The 27,607-nt window shown below is 49.5% G+C and overlaps 1 protein-coding gene, 1 long non-coding RNA gene and 2 pseudogenes across 15 annotated transcripts in view, besides 2 other annotated features; 3 read left to right on the top strand and 1 right to left on the bottom strand.

Moving 5' to 3' along the window:
- Window positions 1-1,701: 1,701 nt before the first annotated feature.
- Window positions 1,702-7,045, bottom strand: LOC101928824 (uncharacterized). 4 transcript variants are annotated; one of them, XR_007068011.1, is made up of 4 exons: window positions 6,271-7,045; window positions 4,167-4,291; window positions 3,592-3,717; window positions 1,702-2,217 (listed from the first exon to the last, which is right to left on the bottom strand). It is a non-coding gene; the product is annotated as an uncharacterized LOC101928824 (long non-coding RNA). The 4 variants fall into 4 exon arrangements; XR_001755618.2 differs by having other exon boundaries at window positions 6,922-7,045; XR_007068012.1 differs by lacking the exon at window positions 3,592-3,717 and having other exon boundaries at window positions 2,123-2,217.
- Window positions 5,997-6,649: an enhancer, noted in NCBI's record as "H3K27ac-H3K4me1 hESC enhancer chr22:20850596-20851248 (GRCh37/hg19 assembly coordinates)". NCBI's record gives its function as "activates a minimal SCP1, AML or CMV promoter by ChIP-STARR-seq in naive H9 embryonic stem cells {active_cell/tissue: H9 hESC(naive)}" and the evidence as "EXISTENCE:reporter gene assay evidence [ECO:0000049][PMID:30033119]".
- Window positions 6,844-7,503: a silencer, noted in NCBI's record as "silent region_13496". NCBI's record gives its function as "represses an Ori minimal core promoter by ATAC-STARR-seq in GM12878 lymphoblastoid cells {active_cell/tissue: GM12878}" and the evidence as "EXISTENCE:reporter gene assay evidence [ECO:0000049][PMID:35858748]".
- KLHL22 (kelch like family member 22) overlaps window positions 7,163-27,607 on the top strand; it is a 54,277-nt gene continuing 33,832 nt past the window's right edge. For 3 of the 11 annotated variants that reach the window (NR_033825.2, XR_001755341.3, NM_032775.4), the window contains exons 1-2: window positions 7,163-7,198; window positions 13,714-13,973. Coding sequence is in view for 7 of the 11 variants with exons in the window: in NM_032775.4 (NP_116164.2) it covers window positions 13,747-13,973 (227 nt within the window). In the remaining 4 variants the exon portion in view is untranslated. The other 8 variants (XM_017029018.3, XM_017029021.3, XM_017029020.3 and 5 more) reach the window with 7 other exon arrangements.
- KRT18P5 (keratin 18 pseudogene 5) lies at window positions 18,803-20,202 on the top strand (annotated as a pseudogene).
- On the top strand, window positions 20,745-21,023 carry RN7SL812P (RNA, 7SL, cytoplasmic 812, pseudogene; annotated as a pseudogene).

Raw genomic sequence — 27,607 nt, 5'->3', positions numbered from 1 at the left:
TTTCTTTTTTGAAACGGAGTCTTGCTTTGTTGCCCAGGCTGGAGTACAGTGGCGTGATCTCAGCTCACTGCAAGCTCCGCCTCCTGGGTTCACGCCATTCTCCTGCCTCAGCCTCCCAAGTAGCTGGGGACTACAGGCCCATGCTGCCACACCTGGCTAATTTTTTGTATTTTTAGTAGAGACAGGGTTTCACCGTGTTAGTCAGGATGGTCTTGATCTCCTGACCTCGTGATCCGCCCGCCTTGGCCTCCCAAAGTGCTGGGACTACAGGCCTGAGCCACTGCACCCGGCGTAGTCCATCAATTTTCAAACTAGCTTTATTTACTAAAGAATATTCCAGATCATGTAAACTAAAAAGCAGTTGGATTAGTTTCTATTTTTCTTAAATTTTTGGTAATATTTAGCTTGTATGAATGCTTATTTACCTCCCTCTAAGACCAATAATCCTTTTAAGACACCACAGACAAAAGAGACATCTTCAAAGGAGGGTACAATTTGAATATAACTCCTTTAAGGGATTTAAAAAATTTAGGCTGGGCGTGGTGACTCATGCCTGTAATCCCAGGACTTTGGGAGGCCGAGGTGGGTGGATCACTAGGTCAAGAGATAGAGGCCATGCTGGCCAACATGGTGAAACCTCGTCTCTACTAAAAATACAAAAATTAGCTGGGCATGGTGGCTCGCACCTGTAGTCCCAGCTACTCAGGAGACTGAGGCAGGAGAATTGTTTGAACCTGGGAGGCGGAGGTTGCAGTGAGCCGAGATCATGCCACTGCACTCCAGCCTGGTGACAGAGTGAGACTCCATCTCAAAAAAAAAAAAAAATTCAGTTAGTAATACTGAATATGGAGATAGAAAAAATATTATATATAATATTCAAACATACATACATAGATATACACAAATATAAACACATAAACGTAAAAACACAAAGATCTTATAGCTTTCATTCCAAAATGGTAGTCGTGAGTCAGTAAAACACAGTAATACAAACTCACTGGTTTCTCTCTCTCTCTATATATATATATATGTATGCATACATATATACACGTAAATACGTATATATACATACATATATATTTTTCGAGATGGAGTCTTCTTGCTCTGTCGCCAGGCTGGTGCAGTGGTGCAATCTTGGCTCACTGCAACCTCCGCCTCCCGGGTTCAAGCGATTCTCCTTCCTCAGCCTCCCAAGTAGCTGGGACTACAGGCGAATGCCACCACACCTGGCTAATTTTTTTTGTATCATTAGGAGAGACGGGGTTTCACCATATTGGCCAGGCTGGTCTTGAACTCCTGACCTTGTGATCTGCCCGCCTCGGCCTCCCAAAGTGCTGGGATTACAGGCGTGAGCCACCACACCTGGCCCCCAGAAAAAGACTTTTAAAAGAGTATTCATTTGCCCAGTTTCCAAACAGTTTCATTTTTTCTCTTTTTATCCTTAGGTGGTTGTTTTTGCAGGATTTTGAGTCCCTTTAGGGCAGGGAGCCCTAATGTTTAAGTGACTGAAGTGCTGAAGTGGAAAAAGTTCTGGCAGGTTGGATGGAGGGCCAGAGTGGCCTGAATGGGGACGTATCAAAGGAATCAAGGAAACTGGAGAAAATATCGAAGGTGGCAAAAGGAGGAAGGGGGAGCAGAAGCAAATGGAAAGGAGAAATCTCAGAGGGGCCTGTTTGGGGAGATTGCAAGTTTCCCAAAGAAGCCAATGAAGTTGTCCTTTATCCTTAGCAAAAATCATGGCAATACAGAAAAGAAGCAGGAGGCAGAGCCGATAGAGGGCAGGGACTCCGGAAGAGGGGCTTCAGGGAACCAAGAAGACCCCAGGGGAGAAGCAGGATCCAATAGACAGAATATCAACTTCTGATTACGCCATCTTCTTTTTTGTTTTTTAGAGACGGAGTCTCACTCTGTCGCCCAGGCTGGAGTGCAGTGGCGCAACCTTGGCTCACTGCAACCTCCGCCCTCTGAGTTCAAGCTATTCTCCTGCCTCAGCCTCCCGAGTAGCTGGGATTACAGGCACCTGCCACCGCGCCCGGCTAATTTTTTGTATTTTTAGTAGAGACGGGGTTTCTCCATGTTGGCCAGGCTGGTCTTCAACTCCTGACCTCGTGATCCACTCACCTTGGCCTCCCAAAGTGCTGGTATTACAGGCGTAATCCCAGCTGGGCACTGAGCCACTGTGCCCAGCCCCACTTATGCCATCTTCTGATCATAGAGCTGTAAAAAAAAAAAAAATCCTTTCAAATATCTCATTGTCAGTTTTCAGCCAGAACAGATAGTACATATTCCTGGCAGTACTGAACACTCTTCCCTACTACCACCCTGCCCACCCACCACTTTTCTTCTTGTAAACCAAAGGTACCTACCAAGCAACTCAGAACCAAGACCAATAAGCATTTTATGACTTAACCATGGACAAAAGAGACATCCTCAAGGCTGGGCACAATGGCTCATGCCTGTAATCTCAGCACTCTGGGAAGTCAAGGTGGGAGGACCACCTGAGGCCAGGAGTTCCTGATCAGTCTGGGTGAGACTCTGTCTCTTAAAAAAGAGAGAGAGAGAGAGAGAAAGACACACTCCAAAGAGGGTGCACAAAGATTCAGCACTCTCAAATCCAGACCCCTTGCAAAGACAGTCAAAAGAAAGAAGGCACCTTTGGGTTTTTTTTTTTTTTTTGAGACGGAGTCTCGCTCTGTCACCCAGGCTAGAGTACAGTGGCGCGATCTTGGCTCACTGCAACCTCTGCCTCCTAGATTCAACCCATTCTCCTGCCTCAGCCTCCCGAATAGCTAGGATTACAGGCATGCGCCACCACACCTGGCTAATTTTTTTGTATTTTTAGTAGAGACAGGGTTTCACCATGTTGGTCAGGCTGGTCTCTAACTCCTGACCTCGTGATTTGCCTGGCTCAGCCTCCTAAAGTGCTAGGATTATAGGCGTGAGCCACCGTGCCTAGCCAGAAGGCACCTTTGTTGACACAGGTGACTAAGGATGTCATCTTGTACAGAACACTGTCACGTCTCCAGTCATGGACTGGCTCATCTATCACACCAATGAATACTGAGACAACAAAAACCCCTTATAGACTTGGCCCACTTACAAACTCCTCTGTCATGGTCAGAAAAAGAGAAGGTTCAGAACCTTCTCTTTGGCCGGGCGTGGTCCCTCATGCCTGTAATCCTAGCACTTTGGGAGGCTGAGACAGGTGGACTGAGGCCAGGAGTTCCTGACCAGCTTGGGTGAGACCCTGTATCTTAAAAATAAAAGAGGCCAGCCACGGTGGCTCATGCCTGTAATCCCAGCACTTTGGGAGGCCGAGGTGGGCAGATCACCCGAGGTCAGGAGTTCGAGACCAGCCTGACTAACATGGTGAAACCCTGTCTCTACTAAAAATACAGAAATTAGCTGGCGTAGTGGCAGGTGCCTGTAATCCCAGCTACTCAGGAGGCTGAGCCGAGATCCCGCCATTGCACTCCAGCCTGGGTGACAGAGCAAGACTCCGTCTCAGAAAAGAATTAAAAAAAAAAAAAAAAAATCACCCTGCGCAACATGATGAATCCCCCTCTTTACTAAAAATACAAAAAAAATTACCTGGACGTGGTAGTGTGTGCCTGTAGTCCCAGCTACTCAGGAGGCTGAGGCAGAAGAATCAGTTGAGCCCAGGATGCAGCAGTTGCAGTGAGCCAAGATCATGCCACCATGCCACTGCACTCCAGCCTGGGCGAAAGAGCAAGACTATTAAAACAAAACAAAAAACAAACAAACAAACAAAAACCAAACTTTCTCTTTTTCTGACCGGGACAGAGGAGTTTGTAATAATGCAAGCTGTTACTTGCAACCCTAACGCAAGCTGTCCTAAAGCAAGCTGTCACTTGCACCCACTGGCTATTCAGAGATCAGGGAGAATATTCTCACTGGTCATAAAGCCAAGCTCTCAGGACACAAATAAAACAAACAGGAAAGAGGTAGCTGTGCCTGGGAGGAAAGGATCAATAACAAACAGTTACCCCTCAACCAAATTTAAGCAAGAGTCACAATCCAGACACAATGTTTTCTTCTGCTAATTTGAATTTGGAAAGGAAGGGACAAGAAGTTTTTACCTTCCACTCTCAGCTGAGTACTACAGGCAGTGATATGGGACAGTTAACCTTGGTAAGAATGCTTACCTTTTGCCAGTTGTCCCAAGTGGGGTGTCTTTGCCACCCCACTTGTTTGTTGGGTGCCAGAAAGAGTAGGGGGAAAAGGTAATATTTTTTCCTCACGCATCACAAGGTTCCTGGTTGACACCCCTCTAACAAAGGACAGATTAACAAGAGAAAAGCATATCAATTTATTTAATATAAATTTTATATGACACAGTAGCCTTCAGAAAAAAGCCCCAGTGTCTAGTGAGGGGTCCGTTCTCTGCTTTTTTTTTTTGAGACGGAGTCTTGCTCTGTCACCCAGGCTGGAGTGCAGTGGCGCGATCTCAGCTCACTGCAAGCTCTGCCTCCCGGGTTCACGCCATTCTCCTGCCTCAGCCTCCCAAGTAGCTGGGACTACAGGCGCCCACCACCATGCCTGGCTAATTTTTTGTATTTTTAGTAGAGATGGGGTTTCACCATGTTAGCCAGGATGGTCTTGATCTCCTGACCTCATGATCCTCCCACCTCGGCTTCCCAAAGTGCTGGGATTACAGGCGTGAGCCACTGCGCCCAGCCGATTCTCTGCCTTGAAGATGGTGCTTATTACAGTGTCCTCACCTGGCAAAAGTGGGGGATGAGCTCCTTCGAACCTCTTTTATACACTGATCCCATGGTGAGGACTTCACCCTCATGACCTAAACCCCTCCCAAAGGCCCTACTTTATAATAGTATCGCACTGAGGATTCAGTTCCAACATATGAATTTTGGGGGTACCGACATTCAGACCACAGTGGCCTTCTTGTTGCTGCCCCAGGATTCCTTTTCCTCTCCTCTCTGGGTCCACCCGTACACCTGGTCCCATTGGGCCTTGGAGGTCAGTCTTCCCCTACCTGGAGCCAAGGGGGGCCTCATCTTCCCCCAGACCTGCTCTTGCTCTGGCTCCCCTGTAGGCAGGGTGGGCCTACTTCCCCACCCATCTCCTGGGCTCATTCTTCACACATCACTGGGCTTATACTGGGGAACCTGCTTCCTTCCCAGGTTTCTAGCCTGCTCCACTCTGGTCTTCACTCCCTGCCTGAGACCACAGCACTGTGGCTGGCTCCCTACTCAGTCTTCGTCTCTACCATATTGGCATCTGCCCACCCTGGCTACAGGGTGCCCTCAGGGCTAAGTCAAGCCTCCAAAGGGCAGGGTCTGCTCTCCAACCTTCCCTTCAGGCTCAGAAAATTCTGGAAACCTCCACACCACTCACTTTGAAGGATCTCACCTCCACGTTTGCTGACACTGTCGGCTTCCTGGAATGCTTTTCTTAATCCCAAAGTCCTCCTCTGTTACACAGTAGGGGGGTCTCCTCCAGAAAGTCTTTCTAGGAGGAAGCCCACTCCCATTTGGAACCTCTGCCTCTGGAGGCCAATCCCGTTCTCTTGATCCTTGTCTGGGACCCTCAGTTATCTCTCTGGACTCAGCCAGGACAGCAATTCTCTTCCGTGTATTTTCCTCCTTTTACATTCCCCTTCCACCAATTTTTTTTTTTTTTTTTTTTTTTTTTTTTGAGACGGAGTCTCGCTCTGTCACCAGGCTGGAGTGCAGTGGCGCGTGATCTCGGCTCACTGCAACCTCTGCCTCCCGGGTTCAAGCGATTCTCCTGCCTCAGGCTCCCGAGTAGCTGGGACTACAGGTGCGCGCCACCACGACCGGCTAGTTTTTTTGTGTGTGTTTTGGTAGAGATGGGGTTTCACCATGTTGGCCAGGATGGTTTCCATCTCCTGACCTCGTGATCCGCCCGTCTCGGCCTCCCAAAGTGTTGGGATTACAGGCGCCAGCCACCAAGCCCGGCCCCACCTTTCTTTTTAACCATGAGCCATCTCCAGCCACATCCTCCCCCTACCACTCTCTCCACCCTTCACAGTCCCTCTCAAAACCACAGTGTGGGACACTCCAACCTTATCCCATCAGGAGGCTCTGTGGCTCCAAGCTCTGGGCGCAGCCATTACGGATACGCCTCGGAGGATGGGACCTGCTCGAAGGTGAGGTGGAGAACAATGAATGCCAAGACCCGCGCACGGACCTCTGGGACCAGGCTTTAAGACTGGGAATTAGATTTACTGCAAAATCTCAGTAAAGGAACGGGCACACAAACTAGCACCTGTTCACTCTGGCGGTGTTAAGCGATTCTCCCCGATATCCCGCAGGGGGCGCGCTACGGTCAGCGGCACCGACCGCGGAGGGAGCGGGGAAGGAGCAGGCCGCGGGAGGGAGGGAATGAGCGCGTGACGAAGGGAACAAGTGGAGGAGAGGAGGAAAGAAGGGAATCAAAGAGGGAGGGAGGCAATGGGAGAAGAGGAGAGGGAGGGAGGGAAAGAAGGGGGGAAATGAGACAGGGAGGGAAGGAATGAGAGAGGGAGGAGAGAACGAGAGTTAAGGAGGGAGGGAAAGGGAATGAGAGAGGGAGGGGATGAGAGGGGGAGACAGGGAGGGAGTGAATGAGTGAGGGAGGAAGGGAATGGTGGGTAAGATAGGAAGGGAAGGAATGAGAGAGTGAAGGAGGGAGGGAATGAGAGGGGGGGAGTAAGAGAGGAGAGAAGAGAGTGAAGAAGGGAATGAGGAAAGGAGAGGGAGGATATGAGCGGGGAGGGAGATAGTGAGGAAGGGCAGGAGGAAGTGAGTCGAGGAATGAGGGTAGGACCGAGGCAAGGAAAGAGTCAATGGATTCAGACGGGGCGACTCTCGGCAAATTCGCTCATTCGTTGGTTCGGCCCCGCCAAGTGCCAGGTGCCGCGCTAGTGCGGGGACTCACTGAGCCTTGGCGATCGCTGCTGTCCTCCGCAGAGCGCCGGAGTGGAGCCGCCCCCTGTCTCCCCGCCCCAGGGCCGCCCCCGCGCTGCTACCCGGCCAGGCCGGGAACCCCCGGGCCTACGTCTGGCCCGCCCGGCGCCTGCGCGGCGCACCCACGTGACGGCCCAGGCCCCCGCCCCGCCGGCTCCTCTCGCCCAGCCTCCCGCCTCGCGCCTCCCGCCTCCCGCCTCCCGCCTCCCTCCAGCTGCGAGTGCGGCCTCGGCTGGCGGCGGCACCAGGTCAGCTGCGAGGCGTGAGCCGAACGGGCCGGGCGGCAGCGAACGCGGGGGTCGGGCGGCAAGCAGGCATCGCTGGGCCGGGGACAAGCTAGCGGCGCGGAGTCCGAGGGGCGCGGGGGCGGGCGCGGGCCGGAGGCTCGGGGGCGGCGACCTGAGGAGAGCCCGCGGCCTGACGTGGCGGGGACGCGGCCGGCGGGATCCCCGGGCGCGGGCGCGTAGGGGCCGGGATCTGGCGCTCGGCCAGGGGCCAGGGTGCGAGGCCTCCTCAGCGCGGCTGCTGGCGCGCCGGCCTCCTGGCACCCGGGCGGGCCCTGTTGCCTGCGGCAGGTCCGAATGCGGCCTTCCTGGCCGCGACCCTCCGCGCTGGAGCGGGCGGCCTTGCAACAGGCGGGCGATTTGGGGCCGGCCTGACGAGCCTCAGTTCCCTCGATCGGGCCCGGGGACTGCAGCCGTAGGAGCCCAGCCTTGCCAGCTCTCCCGGTTTCCTGAGAGGAGCCGGAGATCGCGCTGTCAGTGCAAAATCACCAGAGCGCGAAGCGTCGGCTGCCAGTTCTGACCATTTTAGATCCGGTGCGGGCCGAGCCGAGTGGATCTGGGGCGGGCAGCGGGGCACCGCCACCTTCCGCCTGGGCTCCTCACTGGGCGCCCTCGCTCCGGCCCTCCGCGGGGCCGAGTGCCTCCAAGACGGCTCCCTGGGAGATTCTTCCAGAGCGCACCCTTTGGAAGGCTGCCCCGCTGGGAATCAGCACCCACTCCCTCTCCTCTACCGCAGCCGCCCCCTTTGCCTTTGTGGCCGACCTTGCTTCATGCTGCCAAGGATTGAGTTTCTTTGAGGGGATACTGCTCGTTCGGGGGCCCTACAGAAGGCTGAGGGTATCTACTCAGTAAAATCGTACCGAACTGAAAGTTCCTCTGAAATGATTTTGACTCTGCCATCCATCACTTCATAAAAATTCATCTTGTATCCTTCAGTTTGTAGCTATGTGGCACATTAAGCTTCCTTTCTTCTCCCCACTGAAACTTCGAACAGTACAAAACGGGGAACTTGGCTTGTGATGACTAAAATTGGGGATATGAGACTGGGGGCGGGCGCGGTGGCTCATGCCTGTAATCCCAGCACTTTGGGAGGCCAAGGCTGGCAGATCACCTGAGGTCAGGAGAGACTAGCCTGGCCAACATGGTGAAACCCCGTCTCTACTAAAAATACAAAAATTAGCTGGGTGTGGTGACACGTGCTTGTAATCCCAGCTACTCGGGAGGCTGAGGTAGGAGAATCGCTTGAACCCAGGAGATGAAGGCTGCAGTGAGCCAAGACCCTACCACTGCACTCTAGCCTACACCATATAGTGAAACCTCTTCTCTACAAAGAAAATTTGAAAAATTAGCCGGGCGCAGTGGTGAGCTCCTGTTGTTCCAGCTTCTGAGGAAGCTGAGGTGGGAGGATCACTTGAACCTGGGAGCTTGAGACTGCAGTGAACCCCAAGCTGTCTCACCCCAGATAGCCAGGACTACAGGTGTACACCACCATGCCTAGTTAATTTTTAAATTTTTTGTAGAGAAAGGGTCGCGCTATATTGCCCAAGGTGGTCTTGAACTCCACCTACCTGGACCTCCCAAGGCACTGGGATTACAGGCATGAGCCACCATGCCCAGCCTACTTTGCACTTTTTTTTTTGGGGGGGGGGCAAAGTCTGGCTCTGTCGCCCAGGCTGGAGTGCAATGGCACAATCTTGGCTCACTGCAACCTCCACCTCCTGGGTTCAATCGATTCTCCTGCCTCAGCTTCCCCCTTCCTCAGCCTTCCCAGTAGCTGGGATAACAGGCATGCGCCACCACGCCCCACTAATTTTTGTATTTTTAGTAGAGATGGGGCTTCCTCATGTTGGCCAGGCTGGTCTTGAACTCCTGACCTCAGGTGATCCTCCCACGTTGGCCTCCCAAAGTGCTGGGATTACAGGCATGAGCCACTGTGCCCAGCCTACTTTGCACATTGTTTTTTTGTTTGTTTTTTTGTTTTTGAGACGGAGTCTCGCACTGTCATGCAGGCTGGAATGCAGTGGCGTGATTCTCCTGCCTCAGCCTCCCAAGTAGCTGGGATTATAGGCACCTACCACCATGCCCGGCTAATTTTTTTGTATTTTTAGTAGAGATGGGGTTTCACTATGTTGGCCAGGCTGGTCTTGAACTCCTGACCTCGTGATTCATCCGCCTCAGCCTCCCGAAGTGTTGGGATTACAGGCGTGAGCCACTGCGCCCGGCCACTTTGCGCATTTTGACTGTTGCCTAATGTTCTGTCAGATCACTGTGCCATGACATCTGTTCTCCTGAGGGTGGACGTTTTGGTGATTTAAAACCGTATAGATGTGGTTTTAAATGTTTTAAATGTTGCACCCTGTGCTGTGCTCCTTCCCAGCAGAGAATTGATTCATTTTTCAGCATATCCCCCTTAGCCCCTAGCTAAGTTTCTTAAATTGGACTTGGTAAATGTGCTTTGCCTGCCCATGGAAGATGTCTTTCTGTTTTACCGTACTTGTTTTTGCAGTATGGGTTTAGGGAGTAGCTGCCATTTATCCCTTCCCAAGAGAGCAGAGGCACTACTATGCTCACGGAAGGTGAGGATCCACCTGGGGGCTTGATGTCTATTGGGGTAGTTGTGGAGGTCACCCTCAGAGAAGGAGGCCCTCTTGACTCTGCGGTGGTCATGGTGGTGATGAGAAAGCTGAGGCGTGGGTATATGAGACAAGTGCCCAGAGTCTGTCATTAGCAAGTGGTACAGCCAGCCATGGGGGCTTTTGAGATGTTTGTGAGATAAAACCTCACCCCTCAAGAAGCCGGAATCTCCTTGTCGTGGGTAAATAGGCAGGTTTGGGCCGGGCGCGGTGGCTCATGCCTGTAATCCCAGCACTTTGGGAGGTCAAGGCAGATGGATCACCTGAGGTCAGGAATGCGAGACCAGCCTGACCAACATGGTGAAACCCCATTTCTGCTAAAAATGCAAGAAAATTAGCTGGGTGTGGTGGTGCACGCCTGTAATCCCAGCTACTGGGGAGGCTGAGGCAGGAGAATCACTTGAACCTGAGAGGCAGAGGTTGCAGTGAGCCAAGATCACACCACTGCACTCTAGCCTGGGTGACAGAGCGAGACTCCGTCTAAAAAAAAAAAAAAGGGCAGGTTTGAATGGTGGGGCATATTTGTCATGTTCTCTGTACAATGATAGAGGGAGAAGTAATCGAGCTAGACCTTGACCAATATGGGACTATGAGAGACAGAATGGCCTAGATGGGTGACTAAAGGTGTTCAGGGGATGACAGGTATCCCTTTTGGACTAAGGACTGCTGATGGGGCTGAGTAGGTAAGGCTTGAAGGAGAGCAGCCTGGGGAGGATGAGACAAGAGGTAGGGAAACTGGTAGGGGCATCACTGCTGTGGTCTGACCCAGAGTGGTGGCCCTGGAGGAGTGGAGGGTGGCTGTCTGAGATGGAGGAGAGGTGAAGGAATCAGAACTAGTAGGTTCATAGGGCACATGGGTTAGAAAGGAAAAATATTAAAACAGTGAGGTTTCCAAGATGGAAATGGTAGCTTTGATAGTAAAATTAGACAAGTTGGAGGGCTACTAGCTAGATTAGGCACTGAGCTGTAGGTGAAACTGGGAATGTGAACCACTGGGAAAGAAGGATGGGCTCGAGCAGGGTGTGTGGGATGAAAGAGAGAGGTCAGAAAAGGGAGAATTATCATAGAGCAGAGTTTCCAGGCAAGAGAATCCTAAGTGAGAGGTGGTCATGGGGTATACACCTTGGCTGTGGCCATCTCTGGGGCCTTGGTGAGAAAGATGAGCCAGCCCAGGAGGGGGAAAGGAATGGGTGGGTGGCTGGATAGAGGTCCCAGGTCCTGGAGGCAGACTCAGGGGCAGGCACAGATAACTGAGTGTGTTTGATGGGAAGCAGTAGAGCATCCAGGGGATGGGGTTGGGGGTGGCCCTGAGCCTCAGTAGTGAAGAGAGAGACCTCTTCTTTTTGGCAAGTTTTATATCAGCATATATTTTTCATTTTTTCTTTTAAAGATATATAATCATGTGCCACACAGTGATGTTTCCGTCAATGACAGACCAGACCACATGAAGGATGGTGGTCCCATATTTTTACTGTACCTTGTCTGTGTTTAGATACACAAATTCCATTGTGTTACAGTTGCCTATAGTATTCAGTACTGTGATATTGTGAAATATATATTTGGTCTTGTCTCATTTCTTGGCATACAACTTCTAAAATCTTTGGACTTTCCAGAGTGATGCCTTTTTGTATGCTGGCCAGCAGCCCCTAGGTAGCTTCAGGATGGGGGCTGGTGACAGGAAAGGCCAAGGCAGGCATAAGAGGGTTGGGACTTTCAGCCTCACCTCTCAACCTCCGGAGAGGGGAGACAGGCTGAAGATTAAGTTCATCACCAATGGCCAGTGATTTAATCAGTCATGCCTACATAATGAAGCTTCCATAAAAATTCTGAATGACTGGGTTTGGAAAACTTCTGGATAGTTGAACACATGGAGGCTCCTAAAGAGTGATGTTCCTGGAGAGGGCCTGGAAGCTCTGCACCACTTCCCACATGTCTGGCCCCATGCATCTCTTCATCTGTATCCTTTGCAATACCCTTTATAACAAACCAGTAGACATGAGTATTTTCCTGAGTTCTGTGAGTCGCTCTAACAAATTAGTTGAACCCAAGAAGGGGATCTTGGGAACCCAATTTATAGCCTATTGGTCAGAAGCACAGGTGAAACAACCTGGGAGACTCAGCCCTCAACCTGTGGGATCAGACACTGTCTCCAGGTAGTGTTAGAGTTGAATTAGAGCAGGGGTCCGCAACCCCCAGGCCTCAGACCTGTATCAGTCTGTGGCTGGTTAGGAACCAGGTGGCACAACAGGAGGTGAGTGGAGGGTGATCCAGCATTACCACCTGAGCTCCACCTCCTGTCAGATCAGAGGTGGCATCAGATTCTCATAGGAGCACAAACCCTGTTGTGAACCATGCATGTGAGGGGTCCAGATTGTGTGCTCCGAAAGAGAATCTAGCTAATGCCTGATAATCTGAGGTGGAACAGTTTGATCCCGAAACCATTCCCCGACCCCGTGGAAAAATTGTCTTCCAAGAAAGTGGTCCCTAGTGCCAAAAAGATTGGGGACTGCTGAATTAGAAGACACCCAGCTGGTATCTGTGGCAGAATTGATTGCTTGCTTGTTAATGGGGAAAAACCCTCACACATTTGGTCACAGAAGTCTCCTGTGTTTGTTGTTGTGGTATAAGAGGAGAGGAAAAACAGTGTGTTTTTTTCATTCAGAACTACAGTAACATGCTGTACAAGTATGTAGCTTAGGAGCAATTGGCTGTACCTTATGGCCTAGATGTGTAGTAGTCTCTACCACCTAGGTTTGTGTAGGTGTACCCTTTGATGTTCACACACTGAGGAAATTGCCTCCAGCGATATAAGTCTCAGAATGTATCCCCAACATTAAGTGATGCATGACTGGAGGTAATTGGAGAATAAACATATTTTGGGGAGAGGAAAGTAGGATGAAGTGAGGTGGAGAAGACAGATGTTCACATCTTGTAGCTGACTGTGCTGTGCCTACAGAGCCTGCAGCTTGGCCATGCCTCACAGTGTGGGACTGGCCACTCCCTGACCTGAACAGCTGGCTATCCACAGTCACTTTTGGTTGCTCCATGGCAAAAGTGCATTTGCAGTAGGTTCATTTTACTGATTAGGTTTTAGAGGCTCCAATTCAAATCAGTTTGCGGTTTTTGAACGTACTGACTCAATTATTAGAAGATAATCTTTAATTTAAAAGGCAATGCAGATGAATTTAAATGCATCAGGTTCAATCACAGTTACTGTGCTTGACTCTCAGAATTTCAGTAAAGGAAAGTAGGCCCTGGAAATGCCACCCCCTTGGCACCCACCTCCCAGACTCCTGGCTGTGTGTCTCCTGACCACTACTCAGGTCTTGCCATTTTTATGCATCCATTACTATGAGGAAGAACCCAATTTTGTTCATTCAATGGGAGGGAGGAAGAGCTCTTGAGAACCTGGTGTGTGCTTATGCTTCATGTTCATTGTTTTACCAATTTTAGAATACCCCAATGGGGTAGGTACTTTTATCTCTCTTTTTAAAATTGGGGAGCTCGAGGCTCAGTTTGGTCATGTTGTAAGTCCCTGTGGAGTTGGGCTCCAACCCAGGTCAGTCTGTTTCCCAAAACCCTTCTGTTTGACTTTGCCGCTGAAGAAGATACAATGAGATGAAGAGTCTTGGGCATGATGGCACACAGGTCATCAGGAAGAAGGCCATCAGGAAGTTGGACTAGAGGTGGGAGGGGAGAAGGAATTAGGGGATTTGGAAATAGAGGGAAAACAGGTGAGCCTGAGGGAGGCACAGGAGCAAGGGGAGCAACAGAGCTGGCCAGTCTGTGTGTGGTGGGGCTGATGCCTGCCTGCTCACCCCTGTCCCCTGTTTTGCCAACTGTCAGGCCACAGTTGTAAGGGATCTTGTGGCTGTCAGGATGGCAGAGGAGCAGGAGTTCACCCAGCTCTGCAAGTTGCCTGCACAGCCCTCACACCCACACTGCGTGAACAACACCTACCGCAGCGCACAGCACTCCCAGGCTCTGCTCCGAGGGCTGCTGGCTCTCCGGGACAGCGGAATCCTCTTCGATGTTGTGCTGGTGGTGGAGGGCAGACACATCGAGGCCCATCGCATCCTGCTGGCTGCGTCCTGCGATTACTTCAGGTGAGTTCACTAGAGCTGTTTGTAAGAAGAATAACAAAGGTAATCCTGGCTCTGCTAGTAAAGGTACTGGCGGTGACAGTGGCTGGTCTCCTGCTCACCTCAGAGCCTCCCCTACTCCTTGTGGCTATGACTTAGTCAACAAGTGTGAGAGACAGAAGGGGGTCTTAGAGTTCATTTTTCATTCAGTGATCCTGTTTCTTGGGCTTTGCCTCCTCTTCTCTTCCCTCTCTTCTCTTCCTTTTCTTTTCCTTTTCTCTCTCTTTTCTTTTCTCTTTTCTTTCCTCCTTTCTCTCCTCCCCTCCCTTACCATTCCTCCCCTCCGTCAGTAATTATTGCTGTGTATGCATCACCTTCTGGCTCACACCTCTCATCCCTCAGGTGTTAGCCTCTGGCCCTCCCAGTGAGCTCTGTGGCCCCTCTGGGGTTTCTTATGGCCTCCTTCGTGACCCCATCCCAGCACTTGGCACAGTGTGAGGAACCACTGGCTTATCTGTCTTTTCCACTGGGTTGGAATCTGTCTCTTATCCCTAGCACCTGACATGGTTTTCACATATTCAAACAATACCCATGGCTTAAATGAATAAATTTATGTACACAGATAGCAGATCAATACACCATTTGCCCTGTTGTCTGCACTGCTCTGCACTCAAGGAGGTGGGTGTCACCACCCTTATTTCACATAGGTGGCATGAGCCTGAGAAGGACTGAGGGCCACTCGTGGTCCCCAGCAAGGTTGTCATGGGACTCCAAGCCTGAGGTGTTCCATTCTAGCTCTGATTCTGTTCAATCATTTTGTCTTCAAGGCTTAGTTGTAGTTCTCTCTCTCTCTCTTTCTCTTTATCTCTCTCTATTTTTTTAATTAGGAACTATCAAGCAAAATATGTATGGTTTAAGTGCCTTCTGTCTCCAAAAGGAGTTTTGGAGAATGTGACCCAGTGGTGGCTTGGTGCAGATGTGTCCAGGAGCAGCAGAATTCTTTCAGTTCACCAGGGAAATTCAGCTGAGGCCTTTAATAAGCATTAAGATAACATACAGGACAGTGGGTAGGGTAGAGGAGCTGAGGGCCCCCTGCAGGGGACTTAGGACCTGTATAGGAGAGGATGGCCAGAGGCTGTGGAGCCTATGGGATCCCCTGGGCTCACCCTCTCAGCCCTTCTTGATTTAGTGTCATACCACTCTTTCTGAAGATGACAGTGTAGGCAGCCTTTCGCTAATCTGTCAAAAACCTTATGTGGCTTTCCACGTCCTCCAGGAGCAATTTCTAGCCCTTTCCACAGCCCCCCTTGGGTAAACCTCTTATGAGAGGTGTCCTGCTCTCCGGGATGATTACAATGCATCACTAACACCCCCTGCATCCCTCCACTTCCATTGGGAAGGGGAGCGGGAGAGTGGCAACATTATTGGAAGAGCCCAGAGTCATTTCACAGGGGGGTGTGTGTGTGTATGTATAAATAAGAAATAGAGGCCAGTCACGGTGGCTCACACCTGTAATCCCAGCACTTTGGGAGGCCAAGGCAGGTGGATCACTTGAGGCCAGGAGTTTGAGACTAGCCTGGCCAACATGGTGAAACCCTGTCTCTACTAAAAAAAAAAAAAAAAATTAGCTGGGTGTAGTGGTGGGCGCCTGTAATCCCAGCTACTTGGGAGGCTGAGGCAGGAGAGTTGCTTGAACACAGGATGCGGAGGTTGCAGTGAGCCGAGATTGTGCCACTGCATTCCAGCCTGGGTGACAGAGCAAGACCCTGTTTCAAAAAAACAAAAAAGAGGCTGGATGTAGTGGCTCACGCCTGTAATCCTAGAACTTTGGGAGGCCGAGGCGGGTGGATCACCTGAGATTAGTAGTTCGAGACCAGCCTGGCCAACATAGTGAAACTCCGTCTCTGCTAAAAATACAAAAACTAGCGGGGCGTGGTGGCACATGCCTGTAATCCCAGTTACTTGGGAGGCTGAGGCAGGAGAATCACTTGAACCCAGGAGGCGGAGGTTGCAGTGAGCCTAGAAAGAGGCCAGGCTTGGTGGCTCACTCCTATAATTCCAGCACTTCGGGAGGCCAAGGAGGGCGGATAACTTGAGGTCAGGAGTTGGAGACCAGCCTGACCCACATGGCAATACCCTGTCTCTACTAAAAATACAAAATTAGCTGGGCGTGGTAGCACATGCCTGTAATCCCAGCTACTCAGGAGGCTGAAGCAGGAGAATTGCTTGAACCCGGGAGGCGGAGGTTGCAGTGAGCCGAGATTGCGCCACTGCATTCCAGCCTGGGCAACAAGAATGAAACTCCGTCTCAAAAAAAAAAAAAAAGAAAAGAAATAGACCATTCCCAAGTGTTAGCATGTTTATTATTTGTTTTAGTTACTTGTGAAATGTTAAAATGATAAAGGACTATTTTTTTCCCAGTATGACTGGTAAATATGTGTGAGAGGCTTGTAATATTTGATATGGGCAAGGGTAGAGAGAAGGGCATTTAGGGGTGGGCTGGCCCATAGTTTAGGGCCCTGCAGTTGTATGTTGGGTGTCTAGGTGTCATTCCTGTGGGACGATGCACCCAGTGCTGAGACATGGTGCAGGACAGAGCCTTTCTGTGTTATCCAATGGAGCTACTTGCAAACTGGGCAGTGTGGTGTGTCTACTGATAGGGAGTGAAAAACCTCAGGACCTGGTGGAAGATGATCCCAACCATGAAGATCTGGAAGGATCTTGCTGCACCGTGGGGACTCAGCAAAGGGCAAAGGGAGAGGGAGGCTGAATTTCTTCTGTTTACTGCATTGTCTGAATTATTTTACAAAGAACATAAATTTCTTTTTTTTTTTTTTTTTTTGAGACGGAATCTCACTCTGTCACCCAGGCTGGAGTGCAGTGGTGTGATCTCGGCTCACTGCAACCTCTGCCTCCGGGTTCAAGCAATTCTCCTGCCTCAGCCTCTCGAGTAGCTGGGACTACAGGTGTGCGCCACCACGCCCGGCTAATTTTTTGTATTTTTAGTAGAGACAGGGTTTCACCATGTTGGCCAGGCTGATCTCGAACTCCTGACCTTGTGATTTGCCCTCCTTGGCCTCCCAAAGTGCTGGGATGACAGGTGTGAGCCACACCACGCCCAGCCTTTTGTTTGTTTGTTTTGAGATGGAGTCTCGCCCTGTCCCCCAGGCTGAAGTGCAGTGGGGCAATCTCGGCTCACTGCAACCTCTGCCTCCCGGGTTCAAGTGATTCTCCTGCCTCAGCCTCCTGAGTAGCTGGGATTACAGACGTGTGCCACCAAACCCGGCTAATTTTTGTATTTTTAGTAGAGGCGGGGTTTTGCCATGTTGGCCAGGCTGGTCTCCAACTCCTGACCTCAGGTGATCCGCCTGCCTTGGCCTCCCAAAGTGTTCGGATTACAGACGTGAGCCACCATGCCTGGCCTCTTCTCTGCCTTTTCTGTCCTGTGGAAATTTTTCTTCTTTGGCCCACCTGAGATGCCTCCTCCTCTGGAGAGCTTTCCCTAATTGTCCCTTGCTGTTTCCCAGGTGGAGGAATCTCAGTTTTCCTGAAGGGCAGAGAGCTGTACTGCCCTGCTGCAGGAAGCCTCCTGTGCTCTTTCTGTGTACTCTGTACATGGTTTAGGAATTGGATGGCCAGACTGCATTTTCTTTTTTTGACTTTTGTTAATAACTTTTCATTGCACACTTACTTTGGCTCCCCTGACCCTACACCCACCTTGTATGCTTTAACCTTGTATGCTTCTGAGGTGGTTTCTCCTCTCCTCCTGGACCCTTATAGTCTGAAGAGCCCAAAGGCTCTGTCCTTTTTATACAACCTCCATGGGTCACCTCGTCCCTCCCTTAGTTTTCATTCCATCTGTGAATTATAAAAGACTGCTTAGCTGAACTCAATGTCTGTTACTTTAAAAGTTTGGATACAATTGATGATTTTATTTTTAAAAAATTAATAGCACTTTATCCCCAAAAGAGAGAGAAAGTTGTATTCCCCACAAAACACAAAGCCCAGATGTTTTCCAGGGTAGGTGTGCCTTTTATGAAAAGACTCCAATGCCATTTAAATTTTTTCAGAGCAGTTTCAGAAAAAGAAAAAAAAATTTTTTTTAATTAGCTGGGCATGGTGGCGTGGCCTATAGTCCCAGCTACTTGGGAGGCTGAGGAGGGAGGATAGCTTGAGCTTGAGAGGTTGAGGCTGCAGTGAGCCATGATCATGCCACTGCACTCTCGCTTGGATGACAAAGTAAGAGACCTCTTTTCTCGTAAAAAAAAAAAAAAAAAGGCTGAGCACAGTGGCTCACACCTATAATCCCAGCGTTTTGCAAGGCCAAGGTGGGCAGATTGTTTGAGCCCAAGAGTTCGAGACCAGCCTGGGCAACGTGACGAAACCCCATGTTTACAAAAAATACAAAAATTAGAGCTGGTCACAGTGGCTCATGCATGTAATCCCAGCACAATGGGTGCCCAAGGCCGGCAGATCACTTGAGGCCAGGAGTTCAAGACCAGTGTGGCCAACATGGCAAAAACCCATCTCTACTAAAAATACAAAAATTAGCTGGGCGTAGTGGTGCACACCTGTAATTCTAGCTACTCAGGAGGGTGAGGCTCAAGAATCGCTTGAGCCTGGGAGGTGGAGGTTGTAGTGAGCTGAGATCGCGTCACTGCACTCCAGACTGGATGAGAGAGTGAGATTCTGCCTCAAAAAGCAAAAAACAAACAAAGCTGGGCACGGTGGCTCATGCCTGTAATCCTAGCACTTTGGGAGGCTGAGGCGGGTGGATCACCTGAGGTCCAGAGTTGGAGACCAGCCTGGCCAACATGGCGAAACCCCGTCTCTACTAAAAATACAAAAATTAGGTCATCAGCAAAGCCTGAGTCCTGTCCTCTTGCTCTCCTCCCCGGACAGCATGAGCTTCACCACTCGCTCTACCTTCTCCACCAACTACTGGTCCCTGGGCTCTGTCCAGGCTCCCAGCTATGGCGCCTGGCTGGTCAGCAGCGTGGCCAGCGTCTATGCAGGCACCGAGGGCTCTGGTTCCTGGATCTTCGTGTCCCGCTCCACCAGCTTCCAGGGCTGCATGGGGTCTGGGGGCCTGGCCGCGGGGATGGCTGGGGATCTGGCAGGAATGGGAAGCATCCAGAATGAGAAGGAGACCATACAAAGCCTGAATGACCGCCTGGCCTCCTACCTGGACAGAGCGAGGAGCCTGGAGACCGAGAACCGGAAGCTGGAGAGCAAAATCCAGAAGCACTTGGAGAAGAAGGGACCCAGATCAGAGACTGGAGGCATTACTTCAAGACCATCGAGGACCTGAGGGCTCAGATCTTTGCAAATACTGTGGACAACGCCCGTATCTTTCTGTAGATCGACAATGCCCGTCTTGCTGCTGATGACTTTAGAGTCAAGTATGAGACAGAACTGCCCATGCACTAGTCTGTGGAGAGCGACATACATGGGCTTCGCAAAGTGATTGATGACACCAATGTCCCTCAGCTGTAGCTGGAGACAGAGATCGAAGCTCTCAAGGAGGAGCTGCTCTTCATGAAGAAGAACCATGAAGAGGAAGTAAAAGGCCTACAAGACCAGATTGCCAGCTCTGGGTTGACTGTGGAGGTAGATGCCCCCAAATCTCAGGACCTTGCCAAGATCGTGGCAGACATCCAGGCTCAATATGATGAGCTGGCTCGGAAGAAACGACAGGAGCTGGACAAGTACTGGTCTCAGCAGATTGAGGAGAGCACCACAGTGGTCACCATGCAGTCCACTGAGGTTGGAACTGCTGAGATGACAATCACGGAGTTGAGACGTACGTCCAGTCCTTGGAGATCAACCTGGACTCCTTGAGAAATCTGAAGGCCAGCTTGTAGAACAGCCTCAGGGAGGTGGAGGCCTTCTATGCCCTGTAGATGGAGCAGCTCAATGGGATCCTGCTGCACCTGGAGTCAGAGGTGGCACAAATCCGGGCAGAGGGACAGTGCCAGGCCTAGGAGTAGGACGCCCTGGTGAACGTTAAGGTCAAGCTGGAGGCTAAGATCACCACCTACTGCCGCCTGCTGGAAGATGGCGAGGACTTCAGTCTTGGTGATGCCCTGGACAGCAGCAACTCCATGCAAACCATCCAAAAGACCACCACCTGCCAGATAATGGATGGCAAAGTGGTGTCTGAGACCAATGACACCAAAGTTCTGAGACATTAAGCCACCAGAAGCAGGGTATCCTTTGGGGAGCAGGAGGCCAATAAAAAGTTCAGAGGTCAAAAAAAAATACAAAAATTAGCCAGGTGTTGTGGTGCATGCCTGTAATCCCAGCTACTTGGGAGGCTGAGGCAGAAGTACCGCTTGAACCTGGGAGGCGGAGGTTGCAGTGAGCCGAGATCGCACCACTGCACACCAGCCTGGGCGACAGAGTGAGACTCCGTCTCAAAAAAAAAAAGAAAAACAAACAAACAAAACAAAACATAAATTAGCCAGGCATGCCTGTAGTCTCAGCTTCTGGGGAGGCCGAGGTGGGAGGATCACTTAAACCTGGGGAGGTCAAGGCTACAGTGAGCCATGAGTTGTGAGTGTGCCACTGCACTCCAGCCTGGGTGACACAGCAAGACCTTGTCTCAAAAAAAAAAAATTGGTTTCATGCTAGGGAATCTGTCTTACTAGTTACATGCCAGGGAATCATGGCATTCCATCAATTCATGACAACCCAACATATCTGCATACGTGTCTATATAGCATATCTGCAGACATGGTGAGCAGGCATGTGATAACATTCAGCATCCATTCTCACAGTTAAAAAGTTTTTTGAGCAGGGCGTGGTGGCTCAAACCTATAGTCTCAGCTACTTGGGAGAATAGGCCGGAGGATTGCTTGAGCCCAGAAGTTCTGGGTTGCAGTGTGCCATGCCAACAGGGTATCCACACTAAATTTGGCATCAATATGGTGACCTTCCTGGAGCAGGGTTGCCTAAAAAGAGGTGTGAACCGGCCCAGGATGGAAATGGACCAGGTCAAAACTCCCATGCTGTTGAGTAGTGGGATCATGTCACTGCACTGCAGCCTGGACACCATAGCAAGGGTCCATCTCTCAAAAACAAACAAAAACCAAAAAACTTTTGGGGCTGGGCAGGGTGGCTCACACCTATAACCCTAGCACCTTGGGAGACTGGGGTGGGCAGATCAGTTCAGTCCTGGAGTTTGAGATTAGCCTAGGCAACATGGCAAAACCCTATCTCTACAAAAAATACAAATATTAGCTGGGCACAGTGGCACACACCTGTAGTCCCCACTACTTGGGAGGCTGAGGTGAGAGGATTGCTTGAGCCTGGAGGTTGAAGCTGCAGTGAGCCGAGCCAAGCCAAGATGGTCCCACTACAGTCCAGCTTGCGCGACAGAGCAAGACTCCGTTTACAAAAGAAAAAAAAATTTTTTTTTAATTTTTTTTTATTTTGAGATGGAGTCTCTCTCTGTCGCCCGGGCGGGAGTGCAGTGGCATGATCCCTGCTCACTGCAACCTCCGCCTACCAGGTTCAAGTGATTCTCCCACCTCAGCTTCCTGAGTAGCTGTGAGTACAGGTGCATGCCACCACACCCGGCTAATTTTTGTATTTTTTGAAAGAGACAGGGTTTCACCATGTCGGCCAGGCTGGTCTTGAACTCCTGACCACAGGTGATCCACCCACCTTGGCCTCCCAAAGTGCTGGGATTATAGGCGTGAGCCACCGTGCCCGGCCTATTTTTATCTATTATTATTTTTTAGACTAGTTAAGTGCAGTAGTGAGAAGGGGGGACAGAGACGAATGAGTTTGATCTGTTACTGACTATGAACAATCAACTGAAATAACTCAGCTAACTTTGGCCCAGCCAAACGTCTTAAAGAAATGTTTGGCGTAGGCCGGGCGCGGTGGCCAACGCGTGTAATCCCAGTACTTTGGGAGGCCGAGGCAGGCGGATCACGAGGTCAGGAGATCGAGACCATCCTGGCTAACATGGTGAAACCCCGTCTCTACTAAAAATACAAAAAATTAGCCGGGCATGGTGGCGGGTGCCTGTAGTCCCAGCTACTCGGGAGGTTGAGGCAGGAGAATGGCGTGAACCCAGGAGGCGGAGCTCGCAGTGAGCCGAGATCGCGCCACTGCATTCCAGCCTGGGCGACAGAGCAAGACTCCGTCTCAAAAAAAAAAAAAAAAAAAAAAGTTTGGCGTAAACTCATTAAGCCACGGAACCCACCCAAAACTCAAAATTATTTTCGAGGCTAATTATATTTTTTATCCTAGTGTGAGTCTTTATACTTTTTTGGGGGGCATATTAAGGTGTTTGAAGAGGAGGCACCGACCCAGATCCCGTGGGATATAAGATCCTATGTGGCATGTGTACAGTATTTCTCACGTTGGAACCTTCTGAATTCTAAAATACACTTGATTTAAAGAGTTTGGACAAGGGATCGAGGACCTGAACAAGCTGACCCAAGAAATATTTTTCTCCCCCATCTCACACCAGAGGCAGCATACTGGTTTGCCATTCTGTACCTGTGACATCCTGGAGGTCCCAGGCACCAGCAGTAGAGATGGCCCTCACTCTCTGTGCTGTGGAGTGTTCCGTGCTGTCGATGTCCTCTATTTATTTGGTCATTCCCCTGCTACTGGGTACTTGGTGAACAATTTTTTAAAATTGTGGTTCTAAAATAATAAACACAAATAACACTTACCATCTAGTTCAGTAATATTACGATTATTCACATTATTACGAAACAGATCTCCAGAACTTTTTTATCTTACAAATCTGAAACTCTATACCCACTAAACCACAACTCCCTTTTCTCCTTTACCCCCAGGCCCTGGCAGCTACCATTCTACTTTCTGTCTCTATGAATTAAACTATTCTAAGTACCTCATAAGTAGAATCATACAGCATTAGCCCTTTATCACTTGCTTATTTCATTTGGCATCGTGTCCTTAAGGTTCATGTGTGTTATAACATGTGACCTGATTTCCTTCATTTTGAAGGCTGAATAGTGTGCCATTTTATGGATATACCACATTTTGTTTGTCTATTCACCTATCAAGGGATACTTGGTTTGCTTCCATCTCTTGTCTATTGTGTATAATGCTGCTATGAACATGGGTGTGCAAATGTCTGAGACTCTGCTTTCAGTTCTTTGGCTATATTCCCAGAAGTGGAATTGCTAGATCATTCTATTGACAATTTTCTGAGGAACATAGCAGTTGCACCACTTTTCATTCCCACCAACAGTGCACAAGGGTTATAGTTTCTCCACATCCTTGCTAAAGCTTGTTATTTTCTGGTTTTTTGTTTGTTTTGTTTTTTGAGACAGGATTTTGCTCTGTCACCTAGGCTGGAGTTCAGGGGCACCATCATGGCTCCACCTCCTGGGCTCAAGCAATGCTTCTGCCTCAGCCTCCCAAGTAGCTGGGACTATAGGCATGCACCACCATGCCTGGCCAGTTTTTTAAAAAAATTATTTGTAGAGACAGAATCTTACTATGTTTCCCAGGCTGGTCTCAAACTCCTGGGCTCAAGCAATCCTCCCACCTCAGCCTCCCAAAGTGCTGGGATTATGGACATGAGATTATAGATGTGAACCACCATATCCGGCCTACTTTTTGTTTGTTTGTTTTGTTGTTTTTTTATAGTGGTCATCCTAATGGATATGAGGTGTGAACAACTTTTTAAAACTTTTAAGTCTTTATTTTGACATAATTCCTGACTTACAGAAAAGTAGTAATAATTTTTTTTTAATATATTTTTTTAAAAATTGGCCAGGCATGATGGTGCATGCCTATAGTCCCAACTACTTGGGAGGTTGAGGCAGAAGCATCACTTGAGCCCAGGAGGTTGAGGCTGCCGTGAGCCAAAAATGAATTTTTTTTTTTTGAGACAGAATCTCACTCTGTCGCCCAGGCTGGAGTGCAGTGGCATCATCTCGGCTCACTGCAACCTCCACCTCCCAGGTTCAAGCAATTCTTGTTCCTCAGCCTCCCAAGTAGCTGGAATTACAGGCGCCTGCCACCACACCCAGCTAATTTTTGTATTTTTACTAGAGACGGGGTTTCACCATGTTGGCCAAGTTGGTCTCGAACTCCTGACCTCAGGTGATCCGCCCACCTCGGCCTCCCAAAGTGCTGGGATACAGGCATGAGCCACCGCGCCCAGCCCCAAAAATGAATGTTTAAAGAATTAAGTTTGGGAGGCTGGGCATGGTGGCTCACGCCTGTAATCCCAGCACTTTGGGAGGCCGAGGCGGGAGGATCACGAGGTCAGGAGATCGAGACCATCCTGGCTAACACTGTGAAACCCCGTCTCTACTAAAAATACAAAAAATTAGCTAGGCGTGGTGGCGGGCGCCTATAGTCCCAGCTACTCGGGAGGCTGAGACAGGAGAAAGGCGTGAACCTGGGAGGCGGAGCTTGCAGTGAACCGAGATCATGCCACTGCACTCCAGCCTGGGTGACAAAGCAAGACTCCATCTCAAAAAAAAAAAAAAAAAAAAAAAAGAATTAAGTTTGGGGCGGGCTTGGTGGCTCAATCCCAGCACTTTGGGAGGCTGAAGAGGGTGGATCACCTGAGGTCGGGAGTTCAAGACCAGCCTGGCCAACATGGAGAAACCCCATCTCTTCTAAAAATACAAAATTAGCCGGGTGTGGTGGCGCATGCCTGTAATCCCAGCTACTCGGGAGACTGAGGTAGGATAATTGCTTGAACCTGGGAGCTGGAGGTTGTGGTGAGCCGAGATTGCGCCATTGCACTCCAGCCTGGGCAACAAGAGTGAAACTCTGCCTCAGAAAAAAAAAAAAAAATTAAATTTGGTAAAATTTTTGGTGAAAAAGAAAAACAATAAAAAGGAGTGACTATATATTTTATTTTTCTTTTGGGCTCTTTTTTCTCTCTGATTTTTATTTTGAAATATTTAAATCCTACAGAAAAGTTGAAAGTTAAGTATAGTGAACAACTGTGCTCTTGGCTTAAATTCATCAGTTAACATTTTGCATATTCACTTCAGAGTAAGTTATAGATATCATGACAATTTATCTCTAACAACTTCAGTTCGCCTCTCTAAGGATGAGGAGATTCTTTGACATACCTGTAATACTATCATGATATAAGAAAATTTATGATTGAGCCATGTTCCATGGCGAGTGCTTTTAGTCCCAGCTATTTGGGAGGCTGAGGTGGGAGGATCACTTGAGCACAGGAGTTTAAGTCCAACTTGAGCAACGTAGCAACCCTGTCTCTAAAAACATAAAAATGAAAAAGAAATGTGTAATCATTCTATAATTTCATCTGACATTGAGTCCACGTTCAGATTTTCCTAATTGCACCCACAATGTCTCATATCTTCTTTCTCCTCCCTCCATTCATGATCCATGCAGTGAACTTTTTTGTGTTGTTTTGTTTTTTAAGAGACAGAGTCTCACTTTTTTGCCCAGGCTGGGCAATGGTGTCATCATAGCTCACTGCAGCCTCAAAATACTGGGCTCAAGCAACACTCCCACCTCAGCATTTCAAATTGATGGAATTATGGATGCGTGCCACCATGCCCAGCTAATTTTTTTTAAGAGATGGGGTCTTTCTGTGTTGCCCCATCTGGTCTTTTTTTTTCCCTTCTTTTTCTTTTTCTTTTGAGGCACAGTGTTGCTCTGTCACAGAGTAGTGGTGCGATATCAGCTCACTGCAACCTCCGCCTCCCAGGTTCAAGTGATTCTCATGCCTCAACCACCCAAGTAGCTGAGATTACAGGTGTGCACCACCATGCAGCTAATTTTTGTACTTTTAGTAGAGATGAGGTTTCACCATGTTGGCCAGACTGGTCTCGAACTCTTGGCCTCAAGTGATCTGCCCACCTCGGCCTCCCAAAGTGCTGGGATTACAGGTGTGAGCCATGGTGCCTGGCTGCCCAGTCTAATCTTAAAGTCCTGGCCTCAAGCAGTCTTCCTGCCTTGGCCCCCGAAAGGATTATAAGATTTTTTTTTTTCTTAAAATGGTAAAAGTTTGTGTCCGGCCAGACGTGGTGGCTCACACCTGTAATCCAGCACTATGGGAGGCCGAGGTGGGTGGATCACATCAGGTCAGGAGTTCGAGACCAGTCTGACCAACATGGTGAAACCCTGTCTCTACTAAAAATACAAAATAGCCAGGCGTGGTGGCACATGCCTATAATTCCAGCTACTTGGGAGGCTGAGGCAGGAGAATCGCTTGAACGTGGTAGGCGGAGGTTGCAGTGAGCCGAGATTGCGCCATTGCACTCCAGCCTGGGCAACAAGAGCGAGACTCTGTCACAAAAAAAAAAAAAGGCCGGGCGTGGTGGCTCACGCCTGTAATACCAGCACTTTGGGAGGCCGAGGCGGGCGGATCATGAGGTCAGGAGATCGAGACCATCCTGGCTAACATGGTGAAACCCCGTCTCTACTAAAAATACAAAAAATTAGCCGGGCGACGTGGCGGGCACCTGTAGTCCCAGCTACTCGGGAGGCTGAGGCAGGAGAATGGTGTGAACCCCGGGGGGCGGAACCTGCAGTGAGCCGAGATCGCGCCACTGCACTCCAGCCTGGGCAACAGCAAGACTTCGTCTCAAAAAAAAAAAAAAAAAAAAAAAAAAATCTGTGTCAATCCAAGCACCCACACCCTGCTCAGGGCGGGCAGTGCTTGAAATGTTGCCATCTCCACTGCTGCCAATATAGTCCCAGAGGTGCCAGCAGAAGAATCAGACAGAAGTACATGCACGAGCACAGTCCTGGAAAGTCCAGGAGAGCCAGACAGACCACTGTAAAGAGCATGGGAAAGTGCCCCGAGGGCTTGGCCATGCATGGAGTGAAATGTCTGGGAATAAATGTAACAAATATGTGCCAGATCTGTAGGAAGATGACTTATAAGACTTCCAAATGGACCCAGAGGATGGCTGGACAGTTAAAAAGATCCACTGTGTCCATTATAAAAATGCTATTTATCTCTACATTAACCTAGATGTTTAACATAACCCCCTAAAATACCAAGAGGGTTTATTTGGGGCAATTACAGAAACTTGATTCTAAAATTCAAATGTAAAAAGCTAGCAGTGGCCAGGAAATTGTCGAAAACAAAAGTAACGAAAGGAGACTATTCCTGTCCTATGTGATAAAGATAGCCTCAAAAATTAGAGGAAGGGGCTGGGTGCGGTGACTCACGCCTGTAATCCCAGCACTTTGGGAGCCCAAGGCAGGCGGATTACAAGGTCAGGAGTTCAAGACCAGCCTGGCCAACATAGTGATAACCCCATCTCTACTGAAAATACAAAATTAGCCGGGTGTGGTGGTACATGCCTGTAATCCCAGCCACTCGGGAGGCTGGGAGGCAGGAGAATCTCCTGAACCCGGGAAGTGGAGGTTGTGGTGAGCCGAGATCGCGCTGCTGCACTCCAGCTTGGGCAACAGAGTGAGACTTCGTCTTAAAAAAAAAAAAAAATTAGAGGAAGGAGGGAAGACGACAGAGTTGCCATCTAGAAAAACAAAGTTGGACCCTTGCTTCATACCTTATACCAAAATAAATTACAGGTGGATCAACAGTTTTAAATGTGAAAGATTCAATAATAAAAACACTAGAGGAAAATATCGGAAATGTTTTCTGAATAATCTCAGAAAGAAAAAGCCTTTCTAAGTTTGACACAAAACTCAGAGGC

Source organism: Homo sapiens, chromosome 22 (assembly GCF_000001405.40).
Source record: "Homo sapiens chromosome 22, GRCh38.p14 Primary Assembly".
Lineage (NCBI taxonomy): Eukaryota > Metazoa > Chordata > Mammalia > Primates > Hominidae > Homo > Homo sapiens.
The sequence above is the reverse complement of the archived record's forward strand: the minus strand, read 5'-3'. Positions and strand labels throughout refer to the sequence as shown.